The 17,309-nt window shown below is 41.7% G+C and overlaps 1 protein-coding gene and 1 pseudogene across 37 annotated transcripts in view; one reads left to right on the top strand and one right to left on the bottom strand.

Moving 5' to 3' along the window:
- TANC1 (tetratricopeptide repeat, ankyrin repeat and coiled-coil containing 1) overlaps positions 1-17,309 on the bottom strand; it is a 264,020-nt gene that overhangs the window by 170,796 nt on the left and 75,915 nt on the right. For 18 of the 37 annotated variants that reach the window (XM_047446107.1, XM_047446108.1, XM_047446125.1 and 15 more), the window contains exon 3: positions 1,752-1,847. The exons of the other annotated variants lie outside the window; for them this stretch is intronic. In XM_047446107.1, coding sequence (XP_047302063.1) covers positions 1,752-1,766 — 15 coding nt within the window. In that variant the 5' untranslated portion in view covers positions 1,767-1,847. The remainder of the gene's footprint in view (positions 1-1,751; positions 1,848-17,309) is intronic. 37 annotated transcript variants of the gene reach the window in all.
- Positions 4,844-5,960, top strand: GSTM3P2 (glutathione S-transferase mu 3 pseudogene 2; annotated as a pseudogene).

Here is a 17,309-nt window from a genome sequence, read left to right as displayed (position 1 = left end):
ACAGCAAGTAGAACAAAGGTACTGTTGAACTCAAATACTTAAGAATAAGTCTTTGAAAATGTGAAGAACGTCAGATGTCATTTCTTTCCATTATATATTTTTGAGGAAGAGAGTGTAGGGGAGAAAAGGTATCTTTTCCTCACCCATGGCAAAGTTCATGGCTGACACCCCTATAACAAAAAGATTAACAAGAGAAAGGCATAACAAATTTATTCAACCAAAGTTTTGCATGACACAAGAGCCTTCAGAAATGAGGATCCAGAGACTTAGGAAACTTGAATTTTTACGCTTAAGTACAATGAAGAATGGACAGCCACGTAGAAGCATGATTGAACAAAAAGGGAATGAGGCCTAATAATTGGGGTGGGGGCCCTTAGCAAGGCCTGCTTGTCCAGATTCTTCTTGTCCTCTGGGTACAGGGCAGGACCTCTCTGGAATGAGAGTCTTATAACTCACTGTCAGGTGAGATAGGTCAGAGAATTCCTTGATGACCATGCTTCAGGGGAGAAAGGCAAGGGGAGGTCAGAGGGACCTCCTTTCTTCTGCAGTTTCTCTTATATGCCAAGGTGCCATATTGGGGGGTATCCTGTCCTGAGCCCCAACAAAAGGAAAGACCAGCCTCTTTGTTACTACAACTAAAAGTTACTACAACTAAAACTGAATAATAGAAGTAAATTTCCTGTAACGTTCATTGAGGAGAAAAGGTGAATAGGTAACATTACTCTGAGAGGGCCAATGGCCTGAAGTCACCTAAATTTCTACTATCATTCAACATGTAAGTTTTCCAAATGTCACATATTCTTCTTTTAAGCCCCCCAGAAGTTAAATAGACTATCAAAAGCTTACTTTTACTTCTGGTATTTCTCCTTCAGCACACCAAGTCTTTGGGGACAGGCACAACCTCTCTACATTATGTATTTGAATTCTGCACAGCATGTTGTGTTGGCATATAAAATATAACAAAAAACACCCTAGACAAAATAGTAAGATGATTCCAAAACAAGACAAAATCTATTTCAGTCTGTAATCACAATGGCAATATCAGAACCATGACCACCTTGTCTGAGATCATAGAAGAGTACTAGCAGTAAAACGTTTCTCTTCTGGAGTGCCATACTGCCTATTTACACAATTTCAAGTCGAATCTGAGAGCTGAGGGCAGGGACTATGTTTATTCTTTAACAGATACAAACAGAAGCCAGAACACAGGCTTCGCACCCACCCTGTTCTCAGTATTTGTTGACAGGCTGCAATGAATACAGATGTAAGATTTCCTCCAAATCAAGCAATTAACAAACATTTATAGCAGTTTATAATTGACAAAGAATATTCCTATATATTCACACTTGCAAGGAATGCAAGAAAATTCAGTTAAATCCATGTGACATCAGACAATGAGATATTAGGGAGGAAAATGCTGCATTTAGCAATATCTCTTCATATCCACATCTGAATTAACCTTAAAACCTCAGTCCAGTTACCCCAAATACCTAAACACACATACTCTGTGCACGCTCTAATGAAGGGGCTTCTCCCATCAAACTATCCACCTGGCCTCAAAGCAAAATTCTCTGAAGATGCTGCTTTTGTCAAAAATAATAAAGCCAGAGTAGCAACATTTACAAGTGAAACACTGTAAACTAAGGTACACTTAATTAAGACATTTTTCTTCTTTGCTTCAAAGAAGCATCAAAAACATCCTCTGTGTTAGAAGCTTGAAAAGTTCTTAAAACGTAGTTAGTCTGACTCACGTAACTAACAGTCATGCCTTCTGTATAACACCTTTAGAACTGTTCTTCATATTAGCAACAAGAAAGTGGTGGTGGTAGCAGGGAGTCTGAAGCAGCCTACAAAATAAATAATACAGACTAAAGCAAATAAGAAAAAACAAAGCGTAAGAGACCAAAAAAAAAAAACAACAACAACAAAAAACCACACACACACACACACACACACACACACACACACACACACAAAGAGGTCTGCTAGATGGTACACTGGCTGTTATCTAGAAACTCATGGAAAACCCTGTACACAGAAATTTCCTGAAAGCAAGAGCCATGTCTCATCACTCCTAGGAGATCCTAGGAGGCTGGGAAAAACCAGCCCTTGATGAGTTTTTGACATTCCAAGATTTCTCTCACACTTTCCCTCACTTTAGTAGAGAAATCCTAGGAATTGACAGAGACCTTGCCAATATGACTGGAAACAACTAACGGAACTTCTCCAGGATCCAGATGCTTCATCCAGAAAAGTGTGTCAGGGTGCGGGGGATGGCTAGAACAACCCGTAAATAATTGTGATAAGTAAAGAATTGGCCTTTGGTTCTTCTTTTTTTTTTATATATTTGGTTTTTTTTAAGAGAGTCTTACTCTGTTGCCCAGGCTGGAATGCAATGGCACCATGACAGTGACAGTTCACTGCAGTCTTGTCTTCTCAGGCTCAGGCTATCTTCCCATCTCAGCCTCCAGAGTAGCTGGGACTACAGGCATGTACCACCAAGCCCAGCTGCTTATTTTTTCATAGAGATGGAGGTCTCATTAGGTTGCCCAGGCTGGTCTCTAAACTCCTGGGCTCAAGTAATTCTCTTACTTCGGCCTCCCAAAGCACAGGGATTATAGGCATGAAGTACAGCACCTAGTCTGGTTTTTCTTAATTTGCATAGCTGGAAAATATGACATTAAACTATAATTTATTCTCTAAGACACATAGATCCAGTCATTCATTCTTTATTCAACAACCCATTCTACAAGCTGAACTCTATTCTACTATTCTATTCTTTATAGTTTTGTCCTAAGCAAAAACACTTCAGATTTAAGTATAAGTTATTAAAAAGCATAGTAAATTTACAGTCACAAGTAATATGAATTTAAAAGAGTTCTGGGCATGAAATTGGAAATCAAATGCTTAAGTTCTGATGCACCAAAATTAAGTGGAAACTATTGTGGTGAAATCACCTTCCACCTATATTTAAAATATTCTGTACATTCATACAGGTTGTTTCAGGAAGAGTTTCTACCAAAACAAACAAACAAACAAACAAACAAAACACCTTACCTTAGCCAGTATTTCAAGTTACTAGAAAATTAGTATTTTGATAAGTACTTGGCAGAAAGAAAATTTCACTTTTGGAGGAGACGATAAAGAAGTTGCTTCCTTCTAAGTACAAGAGCCATCTTCATATACCTGTAAAGGGATTTGTTCAATCCAAATTCTAACACCATTTCTTCCATAAAGCCTTCTCAGGCCACAATGGTCAAAAGATATGTTTTCTCTAATTCTACATCCTGCCTTGTTCTAATATGATGATAGATCAAAATTATGGTGAAAAATGTTGAACTCCACAAATCCCCCATGGCATCTAGCAATGTACCTTACACACAACAAACACTAAAAAAAAAGTCTTTAAATGAGTGGCAGGGTTATTATGGAAGGGAAATCAAAATCAACGGCAATTCTCTTCCAACAAGGAGTTTGGACTAATAATTTAAGAATTCTGGTACCAAGTACTAATTCCCAACTTTATGGTCAAAATAATTTGGTGTATACATGAAGAAGTGCACATTTAACACAGTAAGATCTGTTCAAATAACAGGCTTTCAGAAGCACTGGCTGCAGGTAGGTTTTATTTGGGTATTTCAAATAGGCACACAGAAGGGATAAGTGCAAAGACAGTAGCCAAAAATCTGAAATCAATACACTCTCCTTCAAAAAAAGGAAGGGTTCAGAAAGGGCAGCATTTCCAGCAATAATCATGATGTCTCCCAGGCCAATGGCTACTGTGCAAGGCAGAGCTCAGTCTTGCAGAGAGCTCCTGCTCACTTACAGGCAGGAGTTCCCTGTCTTCATTTCCCTGTCACCTGAGTGCTCCCTAGCTGAGACTTACCTCCCTACCACAGCAGCAAAACACGGCTAACTAGAAGACAAAACTCCAATATTGTCACTAGTACTGTATATCATCCAGGTATTTACATAGATGTTTAGATATATTAGAGAAAGCAAAAGAATTTCATAAGCCCACCCACTTCAAAACACACCACAGAATCACCTCATCTTCGAAGCCTTCTTCATCTTATTTTAATTGTTTATACACCTGCTTCCTTCACCAGGCTTTGGGCCTCTGAATGGTCAGACCCTGCCTTGCTCCCCACCCCAGCAAAGTATTTGTTTTCCAATTTCAACATCAATGAATGGTTGTGGAGAAACATAATTTTAATCTATAATTTTCAAAGGGAATTATTGTACCTAAAAACAGACTGTTATCCTTTAATAACTTTAAGTAAAATTAATATCCTTCTACAGGCTATGAGCAATGGAGAAACTTGCCCTGGCTCTCCTGGACCAGCAAGTGGCAGAAATTGGGTTACAACCTAATTTTCCAATTAAGGAATGAGTGTTGGGTTAGCAATTGCAGGTTTTCATTCGACATACATCTGTACGTTGCTACCCTGTGCCAAACAACAAGGGACACAAAGGCAAGTACAACTGACAGAGGAGGAAGACAACATGTGGACAAACATGAGCAGGAAGCTAAAAACATTCATGCCTCCATTTTGTCTACAAGGTAAAAACAAGGTAAGAGGTGCAGTGAAGGTTCAGGATAGCCCTGTAGATGAGAGGAAGGCAAGTAAGAGATTAAAAGGACAGCTGGCTGGGCATGGTGGCTCACGCCTGTAATCCCAGCACTTTGGGAGGATCGTTTGAGCCCAGGCCTTTGAGACCAGCCTGGGCAACAGAAGGAGATTCTCAGAAAAACCAAAAACAATAAAACGGACAGCTGAACAGCTCTGATCATCCAAACTAGGCTGCAGACCAGGCCATAACACCCGATTATGAAACTGCTCCTATCCTCAAAGGCTCACAAGTAGCATCATCATATCGTGCAACTCATCTATGGTTCTGGGTTAGTGGAATATTTGCGGGCTGGCACACACCATTTGCCTGCTCCTGTAGTTCACGGATATGTCCTATGAGGAGAAATGGTACACATGCCAGGAAACTCCTATGATTGAAGCCAATGGCTGGATGTGATATTCAAGCTAGACCTGGACTTTCCTAATCTGCCCAACTTCATGGACGGGAAGAACAAGGTCACCCAGAGCAATGCCATCTTGTGCTACACTGCTGGCAAGCACATGTGTGGTAAGACTGAAAAGATTCAAGTGGACATTTTAGAGAACCAAGCAACCAGTTTCTGCACACAACTGATACAGTGCTGTTACAACTCTGACCATGAAAAACTGAAACCTGGCCAGGCGCAGTGGCTCACGCCTCTAATCCCAGCACTTTGGGAGGCTTCTCTTTTCTCGTGGATCACAAGTTCAGGGGATCAAGACCATCCTGGCTAATACGGCGAAACCCCGTCTCTACTGAAAATACAAAAAGTTAGCTGGGCGTGGTGGCGGGCGCCTGTAGTCTCAGCTACTCAGGAGGCTGAGGCAGGAGAATAGCTTGAACCCGGGAGGCGGAGGTTGCAGTGAGCCGAGATCGCACCATTGCACTCCAGCCTGGGCGACAGAGCAAGACTCCATCTCAAAAAAAAAAATAAATAAATAAAATAAATAAAAACCAACCCTGAAACCTCAGTACTTGGAACAGCTACCTGAACAACTGAAACAATTCTCCATGTTCCTGGGAGAAATTCTCATGGTTTGCAGGGGAAAGCTCACCTTTGTGGATTTTCCCATCTATGACGTCCTGGATCAAAAGTGCATGTTTGAGCCCAAGTGCCTGGATGAGTTCCCACATCTTAAGGCTTTCATGTGCCGTTGAGGCTTTGGAGAAAATTGCTGCCTACATGCAGTCTGACTGCTTCTTGAAGATGCCTATCAACAACAAGATGGCCCAGTGGGGCAACAAGCTTTTATGCTGAGCTAGAGGCAGACTTGCACTGCTAGTTTTGTTTCATCCGTCCCTAGGGGGCCTCCACTCTTTTTTGTTCTTTTAAATAAACAGCACTTGGGCTAAAATAAATAAATAAATAAATAAATAAGCTATGCTGTGCAATTCCCTTCTCTGACTCTCAGCCCCAAGAACCATCCAGGGATGGTCCAGAGAATGCAGGATCTGATCAATGATCAGGAGTTCACAGTGCAGGGGCCAGTACAGGAGTGCTCAGAGTGGTGTGCTGTGAAATCAAGGCTGGTCAGGAAGGGAATGAAGCCCTGAGAGGTAGGATAGCCAGAGAGAAAAAGTATGGTGTCTCAAAGAGATCAAAGAACAAACACAGTCGGAATAAATGAATGAGGAAGTTGAAAGAGTCTGGTTCTTTTTAAAGAATTTTTAAAATTTGGATGTGGAACAATTCCAGACAATGATAAAGCCCACAGGATTAGTAAAGGCAAATCTGTGATGTGAACCCAGGCCTGACTTGAAAGCTCAGGCACTGAATAGCTGCCTCCAAAGTCCTCAATGAACTGAGGGTAGGGGGAATAGGGAGGTGATCAGGACAGCACAGAATACACGCCTCAAAGAAAGGGAGGCTTTGCATGAGGATGAAAGTGTAGCAGTTATGGATACCAGCATCACCTCAGGGACCCAGTAGCCATGCAGCTAAAAAGCTCCTGGAGAACCACCTAGGGTTTGAGTATGAACCACAGTCTGATCGTGGTCTCCTCCTCTCACATAACTCAGTAGAAGGCGTGGCTAGGGCCATAGAGTCTTTCTTTGTGTAAGGTTTAGGGCAACCGGAAACCCAAGTCCCAATCCTCCTTATGACAGTTAGCTCCACAACAACCACACTCAGAATTACATTCTCTTTTCCTTTCTCCTTCCTGTTGTTTCCCACTTGTGTCATACAACAGAGCTACAATCCCCAACTTACACTGCCCACCTTCCTGATGTGCAATCGCAACTCCCAGAATACAGGTAGAGGCATTATGTATACAAAGTGATTCTGGACAAGTTGTTATTTCACCAAGAATACTGTTCCCTTTCCTGCTGGACTGGATAATTTCAGGTCTCTTCCACCTGTAGGCATTATAATTTTTAAGGGGGAAACTTTCTTGTTCCTAAGACCACTGTAAGCACAGTACACAATAAACCATCATCACAGATGAAAAAGGAACCCCTCAGAGGAGGCCACTGTATGCGTGATAAGCTTTTACTATGAAAAGAGACCTTGAGGACATTTTCAAAAAGTGTTAAAAGGCACTCAATCAATGCCAGCTGAATGAAATTTGGTATTATAAACCTAAGGAAATTAAAATTTTTAAATTGCACTGGATCTGGCCTCAAAGTGAAGGGTCAGACAGCCTCAAAGATGCCTGTGAAAGGCAGCTATTCATCACAGAATGATCTCTTGCTTATGTAGCTGACAGATGGATCTTTCACTTAATGCCCAGAATATAAGACATCAAAAACGCTCCTCCACTTGCTGAACAAGGTTATAACCTCCCCAGGCCCTAATTTCATTAGGATTGGAGTTCTCAATACCCACGCAGGGTGATTAGAATCACCCACCAGGTGATTCTAATGTGCAGCCAGCACCCCTTATTTACCACTATCCATATGCCTGGCCCTGTTCTAAGCACTTACCATGCATATACTGATTAAATCCTCACAACCACCGTCTGAGGAAGGTACTGTTAATCTCCATTCCACAAAGGCACAGACAAGCTAGTGACTTGCCCAGGGTCACACAACTCAGTGTGCATCCAGGCAGTCTTGATCCCCAGCCTGACCATGCAGTCAGTCTACCAGGCCTCCTTTCAGTTGAAAAGAAGAGAGACCAGCCCCCAGGGAGTGGTGAGAGTCAAAGGCAAAGCTGCTCAACAGGTGGAAAAGATAAATCGGCTTTGGCCAAACATACACACGGCTCACACACACTTCACTCCTAGAGCAGCATCCCATGCTGCAAATCTATCCTGAAAAAAACAAAAACACCTGCCTCCACTGAGAGACATCTACAGTACAGTCCCTCGAGTTATCAGTTATTTCAAACTACAGTGCTGTCCATGTGTGACCTGGAGGCACCATGCAACAGAACACATGCCAAAATGAGCAAGCTCTTGAGTTCATTAGCCCACAGGGGGAGAACCCTGGGAGGTGGGCTACAATGCCAATATGGAGGATTTGGGGAGACAGACACCTTTGTGTCATACAAACAATGCTGCCCCTATTCCTAACACTTACCCAGAAGTTAGCAACTATGGTATTCATGAAAAACCCAGAAAACTGCCTCATTTCTTGTGAATAAATTGTATAAAGCTTGTTACACGGTGACAGGATGCAGTGAGAAATGGCCTGATGATCTCAATGTCTTTCTCTGGGCAATTTTATACAGTCTAATAAATTTAGTGAGGTTTTAACCTTGGATATCAAGTTCTAAATTAAACCAAGATATGCCTGCAGTGATACTGCAGTGGAGAGCTGAATCAAATTCATACAAGCCACACAGCATCATCTCTTCCCATAGCTAAAGCAATGACATCAGCATATGCATCACTGCGCTCTCCTCTGGAATTTGTAAAGGAAATCATTCTTGGCCATAAACATTTGGTTGCAGTAAGCAGTCTCACAGAAGCCTGTGAGAAAGGGCATATGGGCAAGGACAATAGCTTTATTTTTTTCTCTTTTTTTTTTTTCCCTTAAGCTCTGTTGGACTTGAAGGCTTAATTTTTTAATTAACTCCAACAGCCCCAAAAGGGGAATACCAGAGCTCCAGATGATAAAAGTCACAGACAAGGCATGCTAGAAAACAAAGGCCAAATATGTTAAGACTTAAAAAAAAAAAATTCAGGTTTAATGTTAACAAATCTAGTCTCAAATGAGGATGAGAAAGACACAAGGGTGCCATATCCAAGGCATGAATCTGTAACCTTTTAAGTTCCATGGATGGCTTCAGCAATCTGTACCCTCAGAGTGTTTTTGAATGATTTTTAAGTAGACAGTCTTATTACAAAGAAAACTAATTATATTGAAACACAGATAGCAAAATGTTCAAAAAGCAAACCTGATACACTAAAGTATGCTTAACGCATAAATAAGACACAGCAGCAGGTTTTATAACTACTGCAGTTTTTAAAGCAGCGATGGGCATAAATGTATTTTAAACTATTTCCACAATATGATACAAAAATCAGTTAATTTCCATGTGACAAAGTTACATGTCCTGTTGATCTTACATGGTTGGTTGCCCACTTTCATGATTGAAGCAATGGCTATATTTTGGCTAGAGGTTAGTGAAAATACAGTTGAGTTTTTCTCCACCCATTCAAGTTCACAGATCCCTTGTCTTAGTCCATTTTGTACTTTTGTCACAGAATATCATGGAGATGGTAATTTATAAACAATAGAAGTTTGTTTATAAACTTCTATTTGGCTCACAGTTCTGGAAGCTGGGAAGTCCAAGATCGAGGGGCCCACTTCTGGGGAGTGCCTTCTTACCGCATCATCCCATAAAATTCAGAAAATTAAACAGTAACTTACTGATTGGCACACATTAGCAGGAGCGAGTATGTCACATACACGCCACTGCTAGCAATTAAAGGCAAGTCCCATGATTCATTTTCAGAATAGTCTGTAAAAGCCCTATTTATCAAGAATGTCCATCACCACCAAATTACTATCTACAAAAACCAGGCCTGGCATGACAGGAGACAGACTCTAGATATTTACTGTGACAGACAATGTACAAAAACAAAATGCCACATTTCATATTTGAGACAGGTGTTTTTAATACACGCTGTTGGTTGTATTGTTTTCTTGGTGCTCTCCTCACTCTTTTTGAAAGTATTTGTGCTCTGGAAACTGCCGTGTTTCAGTTAACTGGATCAGGCTTCCTAATGAATGTGGTACCCAAGGCTTGGCCTCTCCCGCCCCCACTGCCTCATACAGTCACAGGCCATTCCCCAGCTGTATGCCCTAAATCAGGGGATGCCCATAGGAAGATAAATATAATTCAGAGTCCAAAATACACGGACTTAAACTGAGCCATTGCCAATTTCTCATGGATCCTGGGTAACCGAGATGGTTTTTGTTTTCATGGTTAGGAACAGCTGCAAGAGCGCAATACTCTTTCTAGACTAATAAAATAACCTAAGTCTGGCTCAGTATTTCAGCTGTGGCAGCAGCCAAATTTCCCAGAATGGTGCAAGCCTCGTGCAGTTCTGGAAGAGCTGGGGTGGTAGTTCTGAACTAAACTGAAGGCATCCAAACCCAACCCAACAGCAAACACACACACACACACACACACACACACACACACACACAAACACCACTTCAACTAAATTTTGAATTAGAGCTAATTCCTATGGGTGGATATGACATGTTATTTGTAGGGGTCCCATAAAACTAATCAAACCTATGAAGTTTAAGCCTTATACTTGAAGGTATGTTACGCGCCATGTATGAACATCAGATGTTTTTCCTCTAAAACCCAGTGAAAGATTCAATTAAAGCTCTTAGTAACTCTGCAGTGAAACCTTTGATCACTGATTCTGTCATCATTTCTCTTAGTATGAAACATCTCAGACCTAAAGAACAAAAGTCACTATTGTGACGCAGCACAGAAAACACATGCACACATACATACACACAGCTTTCTTTTCTTGGGGAGGAATAGGGAGTTGCAGAAGCTACTTTTTCCACAATGAGAACATTCTTTATACACTCTTGTACATGTAGCCCAGTTACCAAGTTATTTCCTAAATGTAAGTGTGTGGTCCAAATGTCTCCCACTAAGGAAAAACAGCCCAATTAGAACCCAGTGGAAAACAAGACACATGTTTCTTGAATGGCTTTGAATTAGAGACGGTGGATGTAAAATTGTTGTAGATATAATGAAGATGTTGCACAGATGTACTAAGTTTTCATGGTCTCAGCAAAACATCTTCCTGGTACAGCAAAATATGTCAGTCTGCAACAAAGCTGGATATAAAATAATTTTTAAAATATCTGATTCTTGTTTTTATGCAGTAAAACTTCTCAAGCCAACTCTCTTTTGCCTTCTCACAAACCTAACAAAGCCCATATTTCAATGTACTGATAATTCACTAAAAACTATAAAACTGCATTCATCTCCAATTGACATCACTTTTTATAATCCTCATATCATAAATCAATACAAATGCAAGATTTATCGATACAAATGGAAGACCTTTACTTCACAAATCCAGCAACCAACCACAAAAGCAATGGCAGAGGTAGAGAAACTTATTTCACAGACAACCTCCTGTTTAGTCCTCACAACCACCAGGTGGGAACTATAATTATCCTCTTTTGACAGATAAGGAAACTGAGACTTAGAGAATCTCAGCAGCCTGCTCTAGGTCACACCTTAGCTCTTAACACCTCATTCCACTTCTTCCTTTGCAAGAAAAACATGCACTAAAACCATGCCTTGGCACCCTAAGCCTTGGATTTCCAGATAAAATGACATTCAAGAACAAGTCTCTGTTACACAGCATGGGGCCTAAAGCTAAATGGCAAAACTGCAACGCTGTTCTGATAACCTGGTTTAATTTAAAACTATATCACAGGCTGGGTGTGGTGGCTCACACCTGTAATCAACACTTTGGGAGGCCAAGGTAGGAGAATCACTTGAGTCCAGGAGTGTGAGTCTTTGTTTCTACAAAAAAAATTTTTTTTTAATTAGCTGGGAGTGGTGGCACATGCCTGTAGTCACAGTACTTTGCGGGGCTGAGGTGGGCTCATTTGAGCCCAGGTGTTCGAGGCTGCAATGAGCTCTAATCATGCCATTGCACTTGAGCCTAGATAACAGAGTGAGGCTCTTAAACAAAAAAAATTATGTCACTATGTATTCCTAAGCATTTTGACTTACTCTTCTGAAAGAGAAACAAATGCTGCACTCCCAAGCACCCAATCCCATATCAGTCTATTCTTGGGTCTCTTTCTCTGTGCTATCATCCTTGGAAAAATGACCAGAATACCCACTTCAACTGCTGCCTGTATGCAGGCAAGTCACAAATCTGTTTCTCCATTCTTTATCTGTGCTACAGTTACACTACTTTATTTCCAACTTGCCGTCATCAGCCCTGGCTCACATACCTCAACATGTCCAAAACTAAACCCATCTTCCTCTCCCCACTTCCAAAACCCACTCACTAGTCTGGGTCCAGGTTCCTGCTGATAAAGCACCATCCTTTTTAGTTCACGAGACTCAAAGCCCCTCCTCTTTCTCATGGCCTCCCTTCCATGTCTGGTAAACAGCCAAACAGGTCTCCGTCTCACCAGTCCTGACTCCCCTCCATTCGCTTCCACCACTCTGGGGAGGTCCTCACTATCTCTTGGGTGGACTTCAGGCTGAAACCTGTAACGTTAGGCCAGTTAAGTGCATCAGAGTTACCTGGGGGACTTGTTAAGAGGCAGGCTGCTGGACCCCACCCTGGACGGTTCTTTAGGTCTGGGGTACAGCTACCCTGCTGATGATGAAGCAGTCCCTCATGGTCCACACTCCCAGGAACCACTGTTATTATACACTCTCCTCCCTCCCTTTCTACAACACTTACATAAATTCTTCTTGAATCCTAACATAAACCAATGTAACCCTTGTAAAATCTGAACTAAGTTTGGATGGTAATGGCTACCAACTGCCAAGGACCTACTGTGAGTCACAGTCTGTCAAGTTCAGTCAAAACAACTGCAAAATACACAGCACTGCCCCTAAATTTACAGGACAATTTTATAAGAAACCAAGACTTTGAAAATTAAACAATTTCTAAATTCCACAATAATAGATTGAGTTTATCTATGTATTAAAAGGGCCCTCTCCTTAGACACACTCTAAAAACCAAATATGATGGAAGAGGGAGACCTATGAAGAAAAAGGAGCATTTCCTTTTCAGAACAGGGCAAAAGGAGGGACCTATGAGGAAACAAAATATAAAACAGCCAGGTCTCAATTTACAGTTCATTGTGGTACAGCACAAAAGTCCATCCATGCTCCCAAGAGCAATTTAACAGAATAAAGAGGGCCAATTGTGGTGGCTCATGCCTGTAATCCCAGCACTTTGGGAGGCCAAGGTGGGAGAATGGCTTGAGGCCAAGAGTTCAAGACCAGCCTGGGCAACATAGCAAGAGCCCATCTCTACAAAAAACTTCAGTAGACTCTGCTTTTGTTCACCCGCCTATACCCAAAAAGGTTCTGTATGATTTTTGTAGATCATATCCTTACCTGTTCTAAACTAGTTTTACTAAGGACTAACAAAATTTAGGTCTATATGTGCTATAAACAAGGTCGTTTCTTGCCTTTTCTGCCTGTGCAAGAATGATCAGCATTAACATCAGAAATCCAGGAAAATTTCTATGTTCACATTGTCGTTTATAAAAAAAGAGGGCTCATGTAAGCCAGCAAATGATCAATTCCCACAATTGAACACAACTTTTCAAAAATGCCCTGAATTTGAAAGCACTTTCCTGTACGGCATTCCATTTCCTCCTCATAAAAACCCTCTGAGGGCGAGCAGCATGATCCTACTGTCCTTGTCTCAGGCCACCCAGCTAATAGACAGTTCACGGAAGAGCCAGGGCTGGTATCCAGACGAAGCCACAGACAACATGGACCATCAAGAGTCATGTCTTTACCACTAATTGTAAGAAAAAATATACGTTAACAGATTCAAATACGAACAAGACCAGTTACTGCCCCCCAAAGCCAATCTACTTGCCAGATATCTACAACAGTGCTGTGGCATTATAGAAACAACTCAAAACAAGGTGGCATGATACCAAAGGCAAAGGTGTTGGGGTCAGGTCAACCAACACCAGCCCATGTGGTCTAAACCCCAACTATACTGTGCTTTCCTTGCCCTGTGCCCCTGGGCCTGGACACAAGCTCTCTGACCCTAGATTCCTCACTTGTAACAGAGCATGACATCCCTCAGAATAGCTGTGAAAAAAAATCAGAAATAAAACATGACAAGTTTGTAGGACTATACCTAGCATGAAACATATATTATAGAAATGGTCACTAATGTGTTGTATTATTACACTTGTTTATATAGGCCCAGTGATGAGTTTTAAACATTTATAATTAAATGTTAGTGGTGTGAAGTCCCAAAATTTGAGACAGGTCTCAATTTAGAAAGTTTATTCTGCCAAGGTTGAGGATGCATGCCCTTCAGACAGCCTCAGGAGGTCCTGATGACATGTGCCCAAAGTGGTCAGAGCACAGCTTGGTTTTATACATTTTAGGGAAACATGAGACATCAATCAATATATGTAAAATGAACATTGGTTCTGTCTGGAAAGGCAGGACAACTGGAAATGGGGAGGGGGCTTCCAGGTCACAGGTGGGAGACCAACTGTTGCATTCTTTTGAGTTTCTGATTAGCCTTTCCAAAGGAGGCAATGAGATATGCATTTATCTCAGTGAGCAGAGGGATGGCTTTGAATAGAATCAGAGGCAGCTTTGCCCTAAGTAGTTCCCAGCTTGAATTTTCTTTTAGCTTTAGCGATTTGGGGGCCCAAGATATTTTTCTTTCACGGTGGAATGACTTAAGTTTGCGTTTTCCTTCTTTATTTAGGAAATTAAGATAAAATGTAATCAGCAATTTTAAAATGGGGCTGAGGGAGGGCTGAAGGATGAATCACAAATTTCTGGCTTGAGTGACAGGGTAGAAAGTAGTGCCAATGACCAAAATGGGAAAAGCAGACAAGCGTGGGGTGAGTGGTTTGGAGTGGGGAGCAGGAAGCAGGCAATAACTGGGGGGGGGAAATGAGTTCAGTTTGGATATCCTGATTTAAAAGTACCTATGAGTCATCCAAGCAGAAATGTCCAAAAGATTGTCTAAGAGGAGGATGAATTCAGAGAGACCTGGGGGGTCCATGAAGTGTGGATGGTGGCTGAAGCCACAGAATTATTGAGGTCTCCCCCAAAAAGGCTGAGCAGACTAAAAGAAAACCACCAAGGATGAACCAGGAACATAAGGGCAGATACAGCAGGACCTAAGAGGAAATTAAAGAAGCAAAAACAAAGCAGTCGAGTATGGTGCAAAGGGGCGGGGCACCATGGTTCATGCCTGTAATCCCAGCATTTTGGGGAGGCCGAGGCAAGTGGATCGCTAGAACTCAGAAGTTTGAGACCAGCCTGGGTAACATGGTGAAAACCCGTCTCCACAAAAAATACAAAAAAAATTAGCCAGGCCTGGTGCCTCGCGCCTGTACTCCTAGCTATTTGAGGGTCTGAGGTGGGAGGATCGCTTGAGCCCAAGGAGGCAGAGGTTGCAATGAGCCGAGATTGTGCCGCTGCACTCTAGCCTGGGTGACAAAGCTAGACCCTGCCTCAAAAAAAAAAAAAAAAAAAAAAAAAAAAGTAAAGAAAAGAAAAGAATGGTGCATAGGAACCCAGAAGAGACAGCTTTGATGAGGAATGATCAGCAGAATCAAATACTACAGGAAAAGTCATGTCAAGGACTAACAAGTGACAACAGGCTTCAATGATCAGAGGCCATTTGGGACGTCGACAAGGGCAGTTTCTATTGAGGCGAAGGAAACCAGGAGACAGGCCATCTGTAGGGTCAGTCCCTCCTAAATTGTAAAATTCTTTAACTTCAAAACTGAAACTCACCCTTCTCCCTCAAACCCACCAAATTAATAAAATGTCAAATAGCAATGTGTTGCAAGGTTTTCTTTCACAGAAAAGGAATTTGCAAAAGAGAGACGCAGTCTAAAACCACAAAACCATTTAACATGATTTTTGCTATTAAGTTCCTATCTATTTTCTAAAGTTGGTCCCAGGGAAGGAGAAAAATTAGTGAATTCTCTGCCAAACGAAAACTGAAGGGGGAAAAAAAAAACCCACAACTTTCTAAATAAATTTCCTTTCTGATAAATCTCTATGGGCAATACACTTAAATTGCTATTTCAATGTTACTTTGAGAAACGTGTTACCACAGGAAGAAAGGCTTGGTTTCAATACGCAAATCTATTGTAAAATGCCATTTAAGCAGATTTCCACCTGGATTTCTCAGTAAGCCTAAACTCTGGTTGAATTTAGTAAATTCCTCTTCCATGTCATTTTTCTTGTTCTTTGTCATGTTAGCATCATAGAAAATGCTATCGCATGCAATTTTAAGTGAAAATTATAAAATAGTTTTACGATATGAATTATGGCACAAGGGAATGTTTGGGTTGGCAGTGTCAACTGGTTAAACAGGTCAGTGGAATTCAAAAAAGTTCCCCTAAACGTCGGCTCAGGCTAAGAAAGAGGTTTATAAGTTTACTCCCCATACAAATATTTTTCAAAAGTTACATATCTCAAATATTAATGACTATTATAGAATTGTCATTAATATAAAGCAAAAAAATTTGAAGATCTGAGGCTTCTGAAATATATTCCTCCAAAAATACTACTCACTCTTTGTATGCATCACTGAATTTAAGCAGACAATTTCTTCGGATCTTCTGGTAACTAATTTTATGTATCCTTTAAACTCTTTATCATATCTGGCTATCTTAATTTTATTTATTTATGAGACAGTCTTGCTCTGTCACCCAGGCTGTTGTGCAGTGGTGCAATCTCGGCTCACTGCAACCTCCGCCTCCCGAGTTCAAGCAATTCTCATGCCTCAGCCTCCCGAGTAGCTGGGACTACAGGCATGTGCCACCATGCCCGGGTAATTTTTTTGTATTTTTAGTACAGACAGGCACTCCTGAGCTCAGGCAATCTGCTCACCTCAGCCTCTCAAAGTGCTAGGATTACAGGAGTGAGCCACTGCGCCCGGCCCATATGTGGCTATCTTACTTCATGATATACACTATCACCTCTTGTGGAACTTTAAAACAACAACAACAACACAGCAGGGACTCCTCCTCCCCCTAATTCTAGTTCAGCACTCCTCAAGTGAGTCCCAGTATCCTAATTTTTAAAGCTTCACAGGAATTGTGATATGTACTCTGCTGCCCTGCCCCTGTGGAGAAGCTCCGCCTTTTGGCAGGATCCCGCAAAGTTCTGGGGAGCAACAAGGCCACTGCATTCCTCATGGATAGCAGGGTGTGGCAGGAGAACTGAATGCAGAAAATGAAATCCTGCTGGCAAGTCACACAAAACAGATGGCAGAGTACATGGGCACATCTCATAGACATTTCAAGAACTCACAGCAATTTGGAAGCTCCTTTTATCTTGACCCCCATCCCCTTGGGGCAGTATTTCCAACACCCATGGAGAAGCGAGCCGGTGTCTCCAATGCCCCCAGTCAGCCATTTGGTCCTGGATGTCTTGGGGACTCCTGCTTGCTGCCTCCACTGTGCACAGCTAGGCATAAATAGCCAGTCTTCCAAGCTGTGCTCACTTAAGATGGGATTGGAGGCACCATTCTCAGCCAGGTCTCTTTCTTAAAAGAGGGAGT

Source organism: Homo sapiens, chromosome 2 (genome assembly GCF_000001405.40).
Source record: "Homo sapiens chromosome 2, GRCh38.p14 Primary Assembly".
NCBI classification, from domain to species: Eukaryota; Metazoa; Chordata; class Mammalia; order Primates; family Hominidae; genus Homo; species Homo sapiens.
This window is presented reverse-complemented; position numbering and strand designations above follow the sequence as displayed.